General features: G+C 40.2%; 1 protein-coding gene across 167 annotated transcripts in view; it reads left to right on the top strand.

Annotated features, from left to right (window-relative positions):
- MAP4 (microtubule associated protein 4) overlaps positions 1-20,532 on the top strand; it is a 238,154-nt gene that overhangs the window by 91,722 nt on the left and 125,900 nt on the right. For 108 of the 167 annotated variants that reach the window (NM_001384862.1, NM_001384845.1, NM_001384867.1 and 105 more), the window contains one exon: positions 19,194-19,262. The exons of 20 other annotated variants lie outside the window; for them this stretch is intronic. Coding sequence is in view for 143 of the 147 variants with exons in the window: in NM_001384848.1 (NP_001371777.1) it covers positions 19,194-19,262 (69 nt within the window). In the remaining 4 variants the exon portion in view is untranslated. Of the gene's footprint in view, positions 1-9,693; positions 9,745-19,193; positions 19,263-20,532 lie in introns of all 167 variants that reach the window. 39 more of the 167 variants (NM_001384789.1, NM_001384793.1, XM_047448132.1 and 36 more) reach the window with 1 other exon arrangement.

Here is a 20,532-nt window from a genome sequence, read left to right as displayed (position 1 = left end):
TGTCCTGTATCTCTTGGATGCATTGTTGGTTTTTTTCTCTCTTTATTTCTGTTTGTGTTTTACTTTGGGTACTTTCTTTTGACCTATCTTCCAATTCCCTGATCTTTTCATAGTTGTGTTGAATCTAATGATGAGCTTTCAGTGGCATTATCTACTTTAGCATTTTTTATGTTTTTAATTTCTAGCATTTCTGTTTGCCTCTCTTATAAGCTTCCTTATTTCTGTCAAAATTTCCCATCTGTTCACCTATGTTTTCCACCTTTTCTACTGTAGACTTTAACATATTAATCATAGTTGTTTTAAATCTCTGTGTGATAATTTGAAAATCTGGGTCATCTCTCAGTCTGATTGCTCTGTGTGTGTGTGTGTGTGTGTGTGTGTGTGTGTGTCTTAGTTTTTGATTGAATGCTGGATCTCACATGTAAAATAGTAGGCTGAGGCCAAAAGGTGTTATGGTTGGAAATAGGCATGTCTCTTGGGTTTAGTCATTTTAACAGGAGCTGAGCTAGTTTTGGGTTTTGTCATTACCGTAATTGCCTTCAGTGTACTACTGTCTTCAATCCCTTTAATTCTATGCTTAGAGTGGGGACTGAGGCCCTGGAAGGTATTTCTTTAATGTGCTTGCTCCACTCTTTCAGCCTTCCCTGTGTACCCGTGCCTCAGAGGGGTCCTTGTCCATGCTCTTTTCTCTCTTATCGGAAGAGTTCTAGCCAGGTGGCAGGCAGAGTTTGTTTTTTTATTGTCCCATTTTGTGCTTAATCCTGTGCTTAATCTCACGGTTTGGGTCTTTCTCAACGTTATTATCCTTTTCACAGTAGTAGCGTCTTCTCATGGTATTGGTGTAGGATCCTGGATGAGGAGTTTTTCTTGCTCCTCTCTCAGGTTTATAAAGTATGTTTCTATTACTCTTTCCCTAGCTACAGCCGGTCTTCTTGTGTGCTCTGGGGTTGACAGGGTTTGTACTCCTTCCCCAGGAGAGAAAGATCCCAGTGGGAGGGGTTCATGCTTTTCCCTTAATGGTGGTGGCCTTCTCCAGGTCTGTACCATGGAGGGAGGCTCTGTCTGGTCCCTCACCCTGCTTCCAATCTTTCCTGTGAGCATGCGGCAGACATCTGTGAAGACAATCCTGCAAATGAGTGTGAATTCCCTTTGTGTCTGTGGATTTGAGGGGCCCCATAGTCTCATGCTAGCCTTCATTTACCTTTGACAAATCACTACAATTTTTACTTGAATTTTTCTTACCTGCTTGTAGGGTACCCAATGTCTCTTCTGCACATGCTCTGATACAGGAGAGCTGGTGTTCACCTCCCATATTTCCTGGAGGGGCTTGTTTTTCTTTGGATTTCATACTACTAGGTGGCTTTCCAATTAATTCAAGTTTTTTGTAGTTGATATGGCTGTTTCTTGTTGTTAGGGTGGGAGTGACGTTGCTTTTGGCTTTCTACAGCCAAGTGGAAGAAGAAAACCTGCTTCCTTAATATATGTTTAATTTGTGTGTTGGGGAGGGGGGGCAGACCACAACTCATTTAAAAAAGTACCGAGAGTTCTAATTATATCCATATAAATATTTACTCCAGACCAGGTGCAGTGGCTCACGCCTGTAATCCCAGCACTTTGGGAGACCAAGGCAGGTGGCTCACCTGAGGTCAGGAGTTTGAGACCAGCCTGGCCAACATGGTGAAACCATACCTCTACTAAAAATACAAAAATTAGCCAGGGGTAATGGTGTGCACCTGTAATCCCAGGTACTCAGGAGGCTGAGGTACAAGAATCACTTGAACCTGGGAGGCGGAGGTGGCAGTGAGTGGAGAGCGTGCCACTGCACTCCAGCCTGGGCGAGAGAACGAGACTCTGTCTCAAAAAAAAAAAAAAAAAAGAAAAGAAAAAAAGTTGCTATCATTGCTTACAAAAGTATCTTGATGTTGCAAAAGCTTATGTTGAGAAGTAAAGTTCATATTTTATTTTTATCCTTTAATTCAATTTTCCAGAAACTCATACATTTTTTGAACAGGCTAAAAAATACACATGTACAAAATCCAATTGGTCCAAAGGGATGTACGGTAAAACAAATTCTCCCAATCCCTACACCCTAGCCAGACAGTTCTCCTTCCTGGAGTAACCACTCGCCAATTTCTGGAGTAGTCTTTCTGAGTTAATGAACTTTTTTTTTTTTTTTTTGAGATGGAGTCCCGCTCTATTGCACAGGCTGGAGTGCAGTGGCACGATCTCTGCTCACTGCATCCTCCGCCTCCCAGGTTCAAGCGATCCTCCTGCCTCAACACCCCAGTAGCTGGGATTACAGGCCTGCACCACCATGCCTGGCTAATTTTTGTATTTTTAGTAGAGATGGGGTTTCGCCCTGTTGGCCAGGCTGGTCTCAAACTCCTGACCTCAGGTGATCCACTTGCCTTGGCCTCCCAAAGTGCTGGGATTACAGGCATGAGCCACCATTTACATATCAAAAGTAGCAGGGAGGATTTAATTTTTTATAAATAAAATAATGTCTTAAAAACTTTCCTCCTCTTGGGCCAAGTTAATGTTACATGGATCAAATAACTCAAGATGAAGCACAAGAAAATCTACTGCTACCACCTCACTGTCCTTATCCACCTAGGCTCATTCCCAGATGATGGAAACAATGCACAGTTAAAGGAAATTAGAAAACGAAAAGCAGCTAGCTTCTTTCACCTATGACTGATGAGGGTAAGTTAATATTAGGATGGGAAGAGCATCTCAACCATGACTAGTTGCTACCATATTTACATCTTATCATTCCTTTCTTCATACTAGGTTTTCTTTGTTTATGTTAGTCAGTCAAAGAACAAATGTCTCCACCGTGCATTATGGATTAAGAGAGAATAGATTTTCCCGTTTTCCATTAAGGAATCCAAATTTTTTGGAGTAAATATTTGTTTTTCTTTTGTGCTGGGATTATAGGTGTGAGCCACTGTGCCTGGCTTTTTTACATTATTAAATGAAGAAAAATGAAGAAATGAAGAAAAATGGATGCCCTTTAAAGTTTTTTTTGGTTTAAGTTTTTAATTTTTTGTTGCTACCAAAGATTTTTTTAAAGATTAGGAAACAAAAAAGAAGGAACCAAATCAGGACTGTTGTAAGGTGGTTGCCTAATGATTTCTCATCAAAACTGTCACAAATTATCTTTGTTGATGAAAGGAATGAACAGGAGCATTGTCCTGGTGGAGAAGGACTCTCTGATGAAGCTTTCCTGGCTGTTTTTCTGCTAAAGCATTGGCTGACTTTCTCAAAACACCCTCATAATAAGATGTTGTCATTCTTTGGCTCTCCAGAAAGTCAACAGACAAAGTGCTTTGAGCATCCTAAAAAACTCTTGTGTTTGCTCTTGACTGATCCACTTTTGCTTTGACTACAGCACTTACGCCTCTTGGTAGCCATTGCTTTGATTGTGCTTTGTCTTTAGGATTATACTGGTAAAACCATATTTCATCTCCTGTTACAATTCTTCAAAGAAATGCTTCAGGATCTTGATCCCACTTGTTTAAAATTTACATCGAAAGCTCTGCTCTTTGCAGCTCATCTGGATGCAACCATTTTGGCACCAGTTGAGTGGAAAGTTTGCTCAATTTTAATTTATCAGCCAAAATTGTATAAACTGAACCAATTGAGATGTCTGTGGTATTGGCTATTGTTTCTGCTAATTGTCAATCCTCTTCAATTAGATCATTCTTTTTTCCTCTCAAATTGATATTGGTGGTCTGCCACGGTGGGCTTCATCTTCAACATCATCTCCTCCTTTATTTTTTTTCTTTTTTTGAGACAGAGTCTTACTACATTGCCCAAATTAGAGTATAGTGACTATTTACAGGTGTAACCATAGCACACTACAGCCTTGAACTCCTGGGCTCAAGTGATCCTCCTGTCTCAGCCTTCCAAGTAGCTGGGACTATAGGTGCGGACCACTGCATCTGGCTGATGTCTTAAAACAAGTTATTCATGTGTAAACTACTGATTTGTTTGGGGCATTGTCCCCATAAACTTTACACAAAGCATCAGTGATTTCACCATTCTTTCATCCAAGCTTCACCATAAATTTACCATTTGCTTTTGCTTCAATTTTAGCAGAATTCATGTTGCTTTATTAGGGGCTCTTTTCAAACTGATGTTTTATCCTTTTTAGTGCTTCAAACTAGATCCTGTTCAGACGTGTTATAACAAGTTAGTATGAGCTTTTTTTTTTTTTTTTTAAGATGGAGTGTCTCTCTGTCACCCAGGCTGGAGTGCGGTGGCACAGTCTCGGCTCACTGCAACCTCTACCTCCTGTGTTCAAGAGATTCTCCTGCCTCAGCCTCCTGAGTAGCTGGGCTTATAGGCACATGCTACCATGCCCAGCTAATTTTTGTATTTTTAGTAGAGATGGGGTTTCGCCATATTGGTCAGGCTGGAGTATGAGTTATTTTGATACAAAAAAACTCCCTTGAAATCCATGAATAATTTTTTCATAGAATGCATTTTCCACGAACTTGTTGAAGATACCATGTTTAAAGTTTATAATTATAGCTGGGCGTGGTAGTGTGCGCCTGTAGTCCGAGCTACACAGGAAGCTGAGGTAGGAGGCAATCACTTGAGCCCCAGAGGTCGAGGCTGCAGTGAGCCATAAAAGCACCACTGTGCTGCAGCCTGGGTGACAGAGAGAGACCCCGTCTCTAAAAATAATAATAATAATAAAGTTTATAATTATGATAGGTTGTAAATTACTACATTTTTTCCATACCAGCTTCCTAAAAGTTGTAGAAGTCTTAACTTAAAGGAAGGGGTGATGGCTGTTTGGAGACATCAAATAAGAAAAACGAAGGAAGCCGCCTTATTTAGTCTTGTAGAAATCTGGTGCAATTAGTGAGTTCTTTATGAATGGAGACTTCTCTGCTGTGGGTCTGATTTTTATACATTATCGGACTGATGGTTTTTGCCATAATGACAGGTTTCATATTTGTGTTTTTCCTGGAGAACATTCTAAACAAGATGTTCTTCTGAATACATCTTTAGAAGTGATGGAAGGGCCCTAGACTTCATTAATGTTTTATTATACATCTAACTTTAAGTTTGATTTTGTTCTTAGATGAGGTTCAGTAAACTACTGCTGATTGCTGACACTTTTTTTTTTTTTGAAGACAGGGTCTTACTGGGCGCGGTGGTTCACGCCTATAATCCCAGCACTTTGGGAGGCTGAGGCGGGTGGATCACCTGAGGTCAGGAGTTCGAGACCAGCCTGGCTAACATGGTGAAACCCTGTCTCTACTAAAAACACAAAAAAATTAGCTGGGCGTGGTGGTGGGCACCTGTAATCCCAGCTACTCAGGAGGCTGAGGCAAGAGTAATCACTTGAACCCGGGAGGCAGAGGTTGCCGTGAGCCGAGATCGTGCCATTGTTGCACTCCAGCCTGGGCAACAAGAGCGAAATTCCGTCTCAAAAAAAAAAAAGAAAAGACAGATTCTTTCCATGTCACCTAGGCTGGAGTGCAGTGGCACAATCATAGCTTACTGCAACATCTAACGTAACTCCTGGGCTCAAACGTTCCTCCTGCCTCAGGCTCCTGAATAGCTTGGACTACAGGTGCGCGTGCCTTGCTTATCCTTTTATTTTTATAGCGACAGTCAGACTGTGTTCCTCTGGCTGGTCTGGAACTCATGGCCTCAAGCGATCCTCCTGCCTTAGCCTCCCAAAGCACTGGGATTACAGGTGTGAGCCACCACACCCAGCCTAGTGCTCTCGATATGTTCTTACAACAGGCTTAGTTAGGCCAACCAGTGGAAGTTTATCAACCATTTTCTTGCCTCTAGATATAGAAGGGACGGTTGAGTAGGTTACACATAATAGAACTCTTTGAACAATGGTGTTTTATTTCCTTTAATTCTTACATGTCCACCCTAATTGTCTTCAACTTATAAAATGAGAAGTAAGAAAGCAGGGTTGCTTTTATGGCATTTATGACAAAGTAGGAAAATTGCTTTTTTCTCTAAGTATGATTTCTGCCTTCATGCCTGGCAACACAAGAACCCCCCGACCTTTATTCCTTTTCTTTGGATCTACTATACTCATTTCCTTTTGCACTTCAACTTATTCTTGCTTCTACAAGTATTTTATCTTAGCATTGCCTGTGTAAACCATCTAAATACCAATACCTAGAAATAAAATTGGTGTCAAACTCTTCTTCTAAAATGCCTATCACCTTGGGAAACAATTCTCAAATACTTTTTCAGGATATGTGTACTACTTGTTTTGCACCACGGCTGTAATAAGAAAAAAATAAAAAGAAAATTATGTACTTCCTGACTTTTTTCCTTAAAAAATGGTGTTTTCCTTAATTGTTCATTATCAGCATTATATGGCCCTATTTTCTAGGTGAGGGAGACAAAAGATAGAACCCTTTCTCTTAGATGTGAATGACGAAGCAAACATCTGTGACTCTTGTTCTTTCAGATGATCATCTAGCACAGTATTGACCCTCAGACACAAATAGCACATTTATGGAACAAGTCACTTAATTTTTCTGTTCTCTGTGTGATTAAATAGTTCTTCTTCTGAAGTCGAGAAAATGCTTTCTCCTCAACATTCCATAAGGCCTTTGAAGCTAAAAGCTTATTCCCATAGAATAAGAAGTTAACACAGGGCAATGGCCTGGCTAAGTTTTTTGCATTTTTAGTAAAGACAAGGTCTCACTGTGTTGCCTGGACTGGACTGGTTTTGAACTGCTGGGCTCAAGTGATCCTCCTGCCTTGACTTCCCATAGTGCTGGGATTACAGGTGGGAGACACCGTACCCTGCCACACACCAGCAGTCTGTTTTAACAAGCCATAATAGGTGACTCGGATACACATGCATGATTGAGAAACACTAATCCATGGAAAAGGGCCTAAGTGACAACTATTAATAGATACTGCAGAATTTCTCCTTAATACACTGGTATTTCTTTTGCAGAAAATTGCAACCAGCTTAATTGGCCAGTAGAGGGCAGTGTTGGCATGGGTCTGACAGCACCAGAGGGTTCCCTTGCATTGAGACCTGGCTGTTTTGCCCAAGGCTGACTCACAGCACACATGCCTTCTCAGGTTCTTGCTACTTCTCTGCCAAGCTGATTTGCCTGCTGTGGGAATCTGACATCTCCTGGGGAGAGGGAATCAACAAAATAAAGTAAATTTGAATATCTTTATATCTCAGAGAATGTGATTAGTTTCTAAAAAAAAAAAGTGTGCTATTTTCGATGCTGTGTGTATTTCACTGAGAAAGTTTTCATTTCATGAAATGGGGGTTCTCTGGGGAAGTCAGTCAGTGAGAAAACACATTATAGCATCTTTTGAATTAGGACTTTTCCAGTAATGTGCAGTATGATTAGGGTCCAGTATGTCTTATCTGGCAGGGAAATATACAAGCCTTTTTTCTACTTGTCAACCTTATTGTTTTTAGTGTTGTTACGTTGTTTTTATTCTCTCCTGGGCTTATATTTTTAGATTGTGAGGTGTTGTATGTATAGTAGAATCCAGCTTCTCTTCTTCCTTTCTAACCTCTTCTTGCTTTCATTTTATTTTATTCTAGTAAAGTTTCTTGATCAGCCTACAGTTATTCTATAGGTGGTTGATAGATAAATTTACAGTTGGTCAACATATAGTTAATAACAGTGAGAATAACAATAGCTAATAACAGTGAGAATAACAATTACTATTTAGCACTGTACAGTTGACATCCTGTATTACTGCATTTAGTCCCACTTCCCAGGTGAAGCTTAAGTATTAGAAATGAGAAGGTTGCATTTGATCATTTAGTTAATAATGACAGCACAACCTGAACCCAGATCTTCTAATCTCACTTTTATTTTTATTAAACAATTAAAACAATATTTTTTAAATAGAGATGTGGTCTTGCTATATTGCCCAGGTTGGTCTCAAACTCCTGGCCTCAAGCAGCCCTTCCGCCTAGGCCTCCCAAAGTGCTGGGATTACAGACATGAGCTACTGGATCTTCTCATTTTAAACCCCTGTTCTGGCTGGGCATGGTGGCTCATGCCTGTAATCCCCAGCACTTTGAGAGGCTGAAGCAGGCAGATCACGAAGTCAGGAGTTCGAGACCAGCCTGATCAACATGGTGAAATCTCATCTCTACTAAAAATACAAAAAATTAGCCAGGCGTGGTGGTGCTCACCAGTAATCCCAGCTACTCAGGGGGCTGGGGCAAGAGAGTCTTGAACCCAGAAGGTGGAGGTTGCAGTGAGCCAAGATCGTGCCACTGCATTCAAGCCTGGGCGACAGCGAGACTCCGTCTCAAAAAATAAATAAATAAAATAAACCCCTGTTCTTTCTGTGAAACTATACCTTTTTCATGAACACATACTTTCTACTTGATCTAGTATCTCACTGATAGTTTTTAAAAACTAAAAATCCATTTTTTAAATTCAAATAGAATTATTAGATGTATGTTCAGGAAATGTAAAAGAATCTTGCTTCATTTCAATACAGAGCACAAACTGAGGGACTCTGCCACTAATTCACATGAGTTTGTAAAATATTTCACTTTCCTAGACAACTGTTTCACATCTACTCTCTGAAACTTCTGGCACTTGCTCTCCTGTTCATATTCATAAGTCATATTCATAAATTAATTGGCTTAATCAGAACAGAACTTCCACATGGTCCCACCACATATTTCCTCCTCACCTATGTTCATCTATGCCCTTATTGTCTGCTCTTTTTCTGTTATGGGTGAACTGTTCATGCTGTCACTCAGGCCACTGCTGTCACAGTTACCTCTTCTGTCTCCTGCATCATCAGTTCTTTTCTTTCAATTGGGTCATTCACCAGCATCAAACATACTATAATTTTTTTATCATTAAAAAAAAAATCCTGTCTGAATCTCACATCCATCTCATCTATCTTTTTGCTTTGCTTTCTTTTTTTTTTTTTTTGAGACGGAGTCTTGCTATGTCACCCAGGCTGGAGTGCAGTGGCGCGATCTTGGCTCACTGCAAGCTCCGCCTCCCGGGTTCACGCCATTCTCCTGCCTCAGCCTCCTGAGTAGCTGGGACTACAGGCGTGTGCCGCCACGCCCGGCTAATTTTTTGTATTTTTAGTAGAGACGGGGTTTCACCGTGTTAGCCAGGATGGTCTCAATCTCCTGACCTCGTGATCCGCCCACCGTAGCCTCCCAAAGTGCTGGGATTACAGGCGTGAGCCACCGTGCCCGGCCTGCCTTCTTTTAAAGAGACGTTTCTACTACCTGTCACCAATTCCTTTCCTTCCATTTCCTCTTGAATTCACTCTCATCAGACTTTAACATATGCATGACCCCAAAACTTCTCTTACCTAAAGTATAAGGCCTTGATGTTGCCAAGGACAAATCCAGTATTACTCCAGGGGTTTTGCCTGAGCAACTGAAAGGAAAGAATTGCCATCATCTGAGATGGGGAAAGCTACAGAAGGAGTAGGATTTGAAGGGAAGAGAAGAAATTTAGCTTGGGATATGTTCACATTTAGTTACCTGCTAGTCATCGAAATGGAGAAGATGGATACACAGATAAGGAGTCCGGAGTTTGGAGGACGGTTCTGGGCTGGAGGTTGATGTTATATAAAGCTTTTGCTAGAGTTGTTGTTCTAAAATCCTTTAAGATTGGATTTAGATGTAACTTTCCAGAACATTCCCTGACTTCTGTTCCCTTTCCCTTCTAGACCTCCCACTACCCCCACACCCTGCCAGCCTTTCTTTTCATCTTCCTCTTGGTAAGTGCTTTTCTTCCCTGAACTTTCCTCTTTCCTCTGTGGTACTTGTAAGATCATAATTAAGCTATTTGTTATCTTACACTTATTAACATGCTCTAGCACAGGAATAATATTTTGTTTACTGCCATATTTCATGGAGAATGACACATTTAGCGAAAGCAGGATGGCACAGCATAATCAAAGTTTACTAGCGACCTCAAGTTTCTCAGGGTTAAGAAATCAAAGGTTACAGTGACAAGTGACCGGAGAGAATCATGGAGAAGCAGATCAAGTGAAATTATGAAGAATCTCATGGTTTGTGAGAAACTGAGGGCGCAGGGGTACTGAGAAACCTGGCCAGATCTGCATTAGAGACCACTGCTCTTGGCACATGATAGATGTGTAATCATTGCTTATTACACTGAATTGAAATGGTTTTTGTTTGTCAGTTTATTCAGGTTTGGGTTGTGTTAATGTACAGACTAACAAACAATTGTGTCTCCAAAATGGTAGATATTTATTTAGGGTAGGTGTACTTGGTCTAATCCTAAACCCTCTTAATAGTCTCATGATCATATTTAGGGAAGTTTATATATATGCATAAAAAATTAGTGTGACATTTTTGCAAAAATAGTTATTTTCTGACTTTGATTTGAAAACAGACTTTTATCTCATAACTAATAGTTCTTTTTGGGGAAAAAAAATATCGTACCAAAATGTATAGTTCATAATAATAGTACCCTAGTCTGAAAGAAGAGCAGGGGACCGGGACCCGGGGGCTCAAGCCTGTAATCTCAGCACTTGGGAGGCCGAGGCAGATGGATCACCTGAGGTCAGGAGTTTGAGACCAGCCTGGCCAACATGGCAAAACCCCGCCTCTACTAAAAATACAAAAATTAGCCAGGTGTGGTGGCATGCGCCTGTAATCCCGGCTGCTCAGGAGGCTGAGAAACGAGAATTGCTTGAACCCAGGAGGTGGAGGTTGCAGTGAGCTGAGATTGTGCCACTGCACTCCAGCCTGGGCGACAGAGTGACTCCATCTCAAAAAAAATACAAAAAAACCCCCCAAAAAACAAAAAACAAAGCAACAAAAAAACCACTTCATTGCTAAAAATATTCTGCAAGCAAGCCAGGATGGTGGTATGTACCTGTAGCCCTGCCCGAGCTACTTAATAGGAAGGAGGATTGCTTAAGCCTAGGAGTTTGAGTCCAGCCTGGGTAACATAGCAAGACCCCAAAGACCCCACCTCTTAAATAATATTCTGCAAGCAAATGACTTTGTTAAACTTCACACTGCAAGAACAGAGCCAAGAACCTACCATGTACCCTTTACTTGGATTTATCATTACTGTTTTGCACATTTGCTTTATCATTCTTGTTATATTTACATATAGTTCCTTCCCCTTGGATTATTTGAGAACAAACTGCAGAACTCACACCTCTTTCCCCGAAGAACTAGGCATTAGCACATTACAAGAATACGATGATAGAGATCAGAAGTTAAATGCTGATGAGATATTCCTGTCTAATCCACGAACCTTATTTCATTGTCATCAGTTGTCCCAACAGATTCAACACATTCCTTTCTCATTTTTTTCTTCTTGTCTGCAATTAAATCTGGAATCACGTTAGTTTTCATGTCTCTTCAGTCTTCTTTAATTGGAACAGTTCCTCAACTCTTCTTTGTCTTTCATGACCTTAATATTTTGAATAGTATGGGCAAGTTATTTTTTAGAAGTCCCCTAATTTGGGTTTGCCTGGCATTTCCTCATAATTAGATTCAAGTTCCACATTTTTGGCAGTAGTACTATGTAAATATGATGTGTCCTAAGTGCACCACATCAGGAAGCACATGATGTCACTAAATCACATTATTGGTGATAATAACTTTCATCACTTGTTAGTGTCTGCCTGTTTTCTTTACTGTAATTTTTTTCCAATTAAAAAAAAGCATTTATTTATTTAGAGACAGGGCCTTACTCTGTCACCCTAGCTGGAGTGCAGTGGCACAATCTTGGCTCCCTGCAGCCTTGACCTCCCCAGGCTCAAGCAGTCTTCCAGCCTCAGCCTCCCAAGTAGCTGGGACTGCAGGCATGCACCACCATGCCTGGTTAATTTTTTTTTTTGACAAAGTCTTGCTCTGTTGCCCAGACTGGAGTGCAGTGGCACCATCTTGGCTCACTGCAACCTCCGCCTCCCAGGTTCAGGTGATCCTCCTGCCTCAGCCTCCCGAGTAGCTGGGATTACAGGCATGCACCACCATGCCTGGCTAATTTTTGTATTTTTGGTAGAGATGGGGTTTCACCACGTTGGCCAGGCTGGTCTCAAACTCCTGACCTCAGGTGATTCACCCACCTCTGCCTCCCAAAGTGCTGGGATTACAGGCATGAGCCACCCCCCAGCCTAATTTTTATTTTTATTTTTTAATTTTTTTTAAGACGGGGTCTCACTTTGTCTCCCAGTCTGGAGGGCAGTGGCATGATCTCGGCTCACTGCAACCTCCGCCTTCTGGGTTCAAGTGATTCTCCTGCCTCAGCCTCCTGAGTAGCTGGGATTACAGGTGCGTGCCACCACACCTGGCTAATTTTTGTATCTTTATTAGAGACAGGTTTTCACCATATTGGCCAGGCTAGTCTCGAACTCCTGACCTCATGTGATCTGCCTGCCTCGGTCTCCCAAAGTGCTGAGCCACCACCCCTGGCCACCTGGTTAATTTGTGTATTTTTTTTTTTTTAATAGAGACAGGGTTTTGTGATGTTACCCAGGCTGGTCTTGAACTCCTGGGCTCAAGCCATCTGCTCTCCCCACCCTCCCAAAGTGCTAGGATTACAGGCATGAGCCACCACGCCCAGCCTCTTTACTGTAAAATTTATATTTTTCTCCTTGTAATGAATAAGTAATTTGTGAGGAGATATTTTGAGGCTATGTATGTATCCTGTATCTAATCCAACTTTCACCTACTATTTTAGTATCTAAGCAAATAGCTTTTGAATAATTTTCTGGTTTCCAAGCCAGTTGAAATGTGTTCTGCTGCATCTTATATGAAAGTCACATTTTATGAATCAGAAATTCCCTTTTGCACATTTTAGGTCAAAAATACCAGGGAGGCCGGGCATGGTGACTCACACTTGTAATCCTAGCTCTTTGGGAGGCAGAGGCGGGAAGAGTACTTGAAGCCAGGAGTTTGATACCAGCCCCAGCAACACAGCAAGACTGCATCTCTACAAAGAAAAAAAAAATAAAAAATTAACTGGGTGTGGTGGTAGTCTTAACTACTCAGGAGGCTGAGGCAGGAGGAAAGGCAGGGAGAAAGTAAACAGATATGTGCAAATGAGACTTCCATTATGCATATTATTCGCAATTAAATCTCATTATTTATGCCCTTCACTGGAAAAAAAAATTACCTTTAATTGCACAGATCATTTATAAAAAGACTGTTGGAGTTATGCTCCAAAGCCCACAATGACAGAGATAGTGTGTCAGAGGGACACAGGAGTCAACTGAAAGAGTTCCCAATAGCCAACACTGGAAAAATTTGAGCAACAAAATAAATAAAGTAGCATTGAATTAAAGCTCAGTGGACGAGGCTGATCATGGTGGCTCACGCCTGTAGTCCCAGCTACTTGGGAGACTGAGGCAGGAGTACCACTTGAGCCCAGGAGTTTGAGACCAGCCTGAGCAACTTAGTGAGACCCTGTCTTTATACAAATAGAATTGTCTGGGCGTGGTGGCTCACTCCTGTAATCCCAGCACTTTGGGAGGCCGAAGCAGGTGGATCACCTGAGGTCAGGAGTTAGAGACCAGCCTGGCCAACACGGTGAAATCCTGTTTCTACTAAAAATACAAAAAATTAGCCGGGCATGGTGGCACATGCCTGTAGCCCCAGCTACTCAGGAGGCTGAGGCATGAGAATCGCTTGAACCTGGGAGGCAGAGGTTGCAGTGAGCTGAGATTGTGCCACTGCACTCCAGCCTGGGTGACAGAGGGAGACTCAGTCTCAAATTAAATAAATAAATAAATAAATAAATAAGCCAACTGTGGCGGTGCACACCTGTTGTCACCATATACTTGGGAGGCTGAGGGAGGAGGATCATTTGAACCCAGCATTTTGAGGTTACAGTGAGGTGTGATTATACCACTGCATTCCAGCCTGGGCAACAGAGCAAAACCCTCTCTCTTAAAAATTAAGTCAAAATCTTTGCCGGGTGCCATGGCTCATGCCTGTAATTCTATCACTTTGGGAGGCTGAGGCAGGCAGATCACTTGAGGTCGGGAGTTTGACATCAGCCTGGCCAATATGGTGAAAACCTGTCTCTAATGAAGATAAAAAAATTAGCTGAGAGTGGTGGCGCACGCCTGTAGTCCCAGCTACCAGCTACTTGGGATGTTGAGACAGGAGAATTGCTTGAACCCGGGAGACAGAGGTTGCAGTGAGCCAAGATTGCGCCACTGCACTCCAGTCTTGGCGATAGAGCTAGACTCTGTCTCAAACAAAAAACAAAGAAAACTCCCTTCATTTTCATGTAATCTTATTTATTTCCTCAAGAAGGGTAGATCTTTTAAGACTTTATTCTTTGCAGTTACAAACATACAATAAAAAATTTAGTGGCTTTACTTTCATTTGATTCCATTTTACAAATGGAATCAAATCGTATGAATTTTAACTTGCTTTTTTTAGTTTATTATCTTAGAAAACTTTCTGTCAGTATATATCAAGCTTTCTTTTTAACTTGGTCTAAAGTAGTGGTCTTAACTTTTGGTCACATACTCAGAATTCTGATAAATTCTGTCTCTTTGTACATTAAGTTTACATCTAAAATTTTGTAGCAAAAGTTTAGTTGTAAAACATGTAATTTTGAGAATGTTTTACTTTTGCCACATAAAAATAAGTTACCTCATTCTGCTAAATGTATCCAAATGCTTCTAAATATATAGCATTTTGGTTTCCATCATCTAGTTTAAAAATATACGAACAAGCTGTTCTTTATCATTGGAAATTTAAATTCTTCTTTTGAGTCCTTGAACTTTTATTTCCATAACATGTCTCAGACTTTTATCCTAATGTAATATATTTTTATGCTTAAAAGTTTTTTCTTGATTGTGCTAATATGTTTCTGCTACTAAATATGTATGTAAACTTAAATTTTAATTTTTAAAGTTCCTGTGACAAAGGTTCTGTGTTTTAACTTGGTCCAGAGGAAATTTATCAGTCTATTGCATGTATTATGTTTTTTTTAAATCTCCCTTCATTTTCACTTAATCCTATTTGTTTCCTCAAGAAGAGTAGAGATGGGCTTTACTGTGTTGACCAGGCTGGTCTCGAATTCCTGGCCTCAAGTGATCTGCTCACCTTGGCTTCCCAAATTGCTGGGATTACAGGCATGAGCCACTGTGCCCGGCCAACATAGGTTGTAATTTTTGATGTTATTACTATACAAGTTGAATTTTATTGGAAATGCTTTTCTTATGAGATGATGGGGTCTGTTATTTTTCTCAATTAAATCATGGGTCTGTGGATCAATATTTCTTTCTCTGATGAAATAGGATTGGCAATTTTTCCTGTTTTTGTAGCTATCATAGTGAAGAAACCCTAATCACATAGGTAAATATATGGGAATAAAGCTTTTTTTTTTTTTTGGGAGATGGAGTCTTGCTCTGTCGCCCAGACTGGAGTGCAGTGGCACGATCTCAGCTCACTGCAACCTCTGCCTCCCAGGTTCAAGCTATTCTTGTGCTTCAGCCTCTAGAGTAGTTGTGATTCACACGCCACTATGCCTGGCTAATTTTTTGTATTTTAGTAGATATGGGGTTTCACCGCATTGGCCAGGCAGGTCTCGAACTCCTGACCTCAAGTGATCCACCTGCCTCAGCCTCCCAAAGTGCTGGGATTATAGGCTTGAGCCACTGCACCTGGCCAGGTTCTTTTTTATTATTATTATTTTTTATTACGAGATAAGGACTATAGGCGTGTGCCACCACACCCAGCTAATTTATTTATTTATTTATTTATTTTTAGAGATGGGGTCACACTATGTTGCCCAGGCTGGTCTCAAATTCCTGGACTCAAGACACCCCTCTGCCTTAGCCTCCCTAATAGCTGGGACTATAGGCATACCCTAGGGTGTCTTGGCCTTTATCTATATTTAGCTATTAGATACCTGTTATCTTCCTGTATCGGTAACACGAAGTGCTCTCATTTCTTTTATTACTGTGTACTATTTTACAATATTATAATCTGTTGGTGGACATTTGTTGTTTTTAAGCAGTGCCATCATAAACATTCTGTTTATATTCACTTTTTTATACTTTTATGTCTCTTTTTGAACTAAATACCTAAAACTGATTGTTGAGTTGAGTATTGCAGAATTTGATAGGCTGCCAAATTGTCTCATAAAAAGGTTATTCCTATTTACATTCCCCCAAATGATGTAATGAAATTACCCTTGTCAATGCTGGTTATCAAATTTTAAAAGGTTTTATCACTGTAATAGCTGCTCTTATACCACTCGCTGGATATCAGTTTTTGTAATTTCCATTTTCTTATAATATGCATTCTTTAATGAAGCAAGTTTTTAAAAATATGCATTCTTTCTTGAGCGAGGAAGAATAAATCTTATAAGCTTATTGTGTGAATGTGAAAGGGAATTTACTTATGCCAAATGTGGGATGGAGCATATTTATGGCATCTCTCTGGATAAGTAAAATGCAGTTTGTGAAGACTTAGCAGGGTATATGTTACATAGCGGCTATTTAATAGAATTCTGTTGTCTTTCCTTCCTTATTTCTTTCTTTTATTTAAATTATATTCTGGTTTTGGACTGCCTTGTTCTTTTAGATTGTTCTCTTTGGCTGTTCCTCTTAAGTAACAGAATGAATGATCTTTTCAACAAGAAGCTTGTGTGAAAGATTTCTGCCTTGTATTTATGAGGACTAAGGGGTTGGACAGCATGTTTGTGGTCTTCCAAAGTAAAATCTTGCATTTTTTATTTTAGTAGCATATATTGTAGATATTCACTTATTGTCTTAGGAATAATATCTCTGAATTCTTCGGTCAGCAAGGTGACTGCAGAGCTAGGCTGGTTGCTAAAATGTTAGATATAGTCAGAGACTTTCAGAAAAAGTTGTACATCCCCAAATTGATCTATATAGTCAATCCCCAAATTGATCTATATAGTCTTATATGCAATTGCATATAAGATCCCATCAAGAATTTTAGTATAAATCAAAAACTGATTCTAAAATTTATATGGAAAAGCAAAGAAACAAAACAAGGCCAGGCGCAGTGACTCACACCTGTAATACCAACACTTTGGGAGGCCAAGGTGGGAGGATTGCTTGAGGTCAGGAGTTTGAGAGCAGTCTGGGAAACATAGGGAGACCCCGTTTTTCCAAAAAATAATAATAATGAAAAATTAGGCAGGCGTGGTAGCATGCACCTGTGGTCCCAGCTACTTGGGAGGCTGAGGCGGGAGGATTGCTTGAGCCTGAGCAGTCGAGGCTCCAGTGAGCCACGATTGCACTACTGCACTCCAGCCTGAGTGACAGAATGAGACCCTGTCTCGAAAAAACAAAACAAAACAAACAAAAACATTTTTGGAAAAGACTCAAGTTGGAGGGCTCATATTACCTTATTTAAGACTTATGGCTGGGCACAGTGGCTCATGCCTGTAATCCCAGCACTTTGGGAGGCCGAAGCAGGCGGATCACCTGAGGTCAAGAGTTTGAGACCAGCTTGGCCAACATAGTGAAACCTCGTCTCTACTAAAAATACAAAAAAAAATTAGCTGGACGTGGTGGCACGTGCCTGTAGTCCCAGCTACTTGGGGAGGCTGAGCCTGGAGAATCTCTTGAACCCAGGAGGTGGAGGTTGCAGAGCGTCAAGATTGCGCCACTGCACTCCAGCCTGGGCGACAGAGAGAGACTCCCTGTCAAGAAGACTTACTGTACAAATACAGTAATCAAGACAGGATGGTATTGGCAAAATGGATAGCCTTACAAATTGATGGAACATAACAGCCCAGAAATAAACCCAATGTAATATGGTCAGTTGATTTTTTTACAAAGGTGCAAAGGCAATTCAATAGAATGCAGATGACTTTTTCCACAAATGACTCTGTAATAATTACCTAATTACCTAATTATTAGGTGATTAGGTAACTACCTAATCACCTAATTATTAGGTACAGGAATAGAAACTTAGGAATGTACAGGAATAGAAACTTAGACCCACATCATTACACCATATACAAAATTTAACTCAAAATGTACCGTAGGCCTCAATATGAAATGTAAATATGAAAACTATAAGACTTCTAGAAGAAAACATGGGGAAAAAAATCCTGTGACCTACTTCATAAAAATTAAAAACTATTTGAAAGGCACAGTTAAGTAAATGAAAATACAGTATAAGTTAGAAACAGGGAAGAAATTTTTACAAAATTTATCTGATAAAGGAGTGATATTTGGAATACATAAAGAATTTTCAAAACTCAATAATAAGAAAATAAACAGTTCAGTTTTAAAATAGTCAAAAAATTTGACCATTCAAGTCACCAAAGAAGACAAAGGGATGGCAGAGAAACACATGAAAAGATGCTCAACATCCTTAGTCATTAGGGAATAAGATACAACTAATTTCCTTAAAAAAAAAAAAAAGAGGGAAAAAAAAAAAGGAGTCCTCTGCTTCCAGAAATACAGCTGGTTACCTCCATGCAATCTTCATCCAGAAGCAATGATGGTACCCTGGATTTCCTGTGTGGGAATTAATAAGTAATTAATAAATGGCCTCCGCTGGGCATGGTGGCTCACATCTGTAATCTCAGCACTTTGGGAGGCCAAGGCGGTGAATCACCTGAGGTCAGGAGTTTGAGCCCGCCTGGCCAACATGGTGAAATCCCATTTCTACTAAAAATACAAAAATTAGCTGGTCATGGGGGCGGGTGCCTGCAATCCCAACTACTCGGGAGGCTGAGGCAGGAGAATCACTCGAACCCAGAAGGCGGAGGTTGCAGTGAGCCGAGGTTGCACCATGGCACTCCAGTCTGGGTGACAAGAGCAAAACCCCATCTCAAAAATAATAATAATAATAAAACAAATGCCCTCGTGTTCTTGGAGCGTTTGATTTGGATTTGAATTGCTGATACCAAACCTGTGTTGCTCCATGATGGTTTTACTGAATTTAATGGTAATCTTTGATAATTTACAGAATGAAAAAGATTTAGACTTGCTATTATGAGGGGCTCTCCTATGGAACTGGTACTTTACAGAGCTTGGGTGCCCTAGGAATTAATGATTCTGTTCAGTTCTGTTTCTGGGTTTCCTTTTGTTAAATGTTTAAATTTTGAACAGTTTTTAATTGCTTTAACCTAATGCTACAAAGAGTGAGAAAAACTCCATTAATAAGACAGTGGTTGGATCTGTTTTTCATTTTTCTGTCTGTCACAATGGGTAATTATTTGTCATTGTTGCAGATACTCCATCTTCTAAACCAACACTCCTAGCCAATGGTGGTCATGGAGTAGAAGGGAGCGATACTACAGGTAAGTGATTCCCAGGATTCCCCAAATGTGTAGGTGATGCACTTACAATGAACACCTTGATAATCTCCTTTGAAGAGCATTATTAATGGAAGCATATGAATTATTTCTGAGGGTGGTAGTGTTCTTGTTGGAGGTATTTAAACCCAGGACATTGCCATGTAAAATCTCCAACAATGGAAGGAGAATAATGAGTTTGCTTTGATATTTTTTGAATATTTATTGGAGCTGTACCACACAAGAACTGGATCAACCTTAAAATACTTTTGTAGATGCAGAATAATGATCACCAAAATATGTTACATGGGAGGAATTTGGCCACTACAACTCTTAAAACAGCAGGTCTGTTCCCTGAATCACATTGCGTTTAGCTTTCTACAGTTCAATGTTAGGAAGCCAGTGAACAACAAATTAGGAGTTATTTATTTTGCCCCCAGTGTGTTTCCTTTATCTTTCCCTTAACTGTTGCTTTTGAAATTTACTTCTAATTAAACTCTTAGCTCTTTACTAGGGTTTTGATATTCTTTCAGTTAGCATTGAGTTTCTGTGGGTTCCTGTCTCATAACCAGCACCAACCCCCTGCCCCAATGTCTTTGTAGTGAGCAAAATTCTCAAAGCAGTAGCAGGAGTCCCAGGGATATACTATATAAATATTTTCTTAAGTAGCTGATGTGAGAGTTGCGTGTTTTATTTTCATAAATACCTGCATTTACTTTGCAGTTGTGATCAGGCCAACACTGCTAACCCAAATGAGTTGACTTCTAATGATCAATCCCATTGTTTCCTGCAAGTGTGCTCTTAACTGGGCCATACATTTGATTCATATTATTGCAGTGGAGGTAGTTACTAGATTTGTCATATTTCTGTATTTCTCTTATATGCATACCTCAGCTATGAGAAGCCCTTCTGTGAGGCACCACAGTATTTCTCTTTTTCTAAGGCTTCCAGAAAGCCTTCTGTTAGCAATAGCAGCTATTCTAGGATTTATTCTTTATTCTATGACCATAGGAAAGTTGTATATATCTTTATACATCAGATTTTTTGATGACCAAGTTCTTTTTGTTGTGAATGTTTACCAAGTGACATATACATCCTTATTAGCAACTTAATAAATTAGGAACTCTTTACTTTAGAAGCTAGAAACAACCAGAAATGCCACTTTATCTTCCAGTTTTGTGAATTGATGTTTTTGTATTTCTTTGATAATCTCAGTCAAATGTAGTATTGACTTTCTGTGTCTGCTTTGAAAGCAGTCATCTATGTGATGTGGTTT

This window comes from Homo sapiens, chromosome 3 (genome assembly GCF_000001405.40).
Source record: "Homo sapiens chromosome 3, GRCh38.p14 Primary Assembly".
NCBI classification, from domain to species: Eukaryota; Metazoa; Chordata; class Mammalia; order Primates; family Hominidae; genus Homo; species Homo sapiens.
The sequence above is the reverse complement of the archived record's forward strand: the minus strand, read 5'-3'. Positions and strand labels throughout refer to the sequence as shown.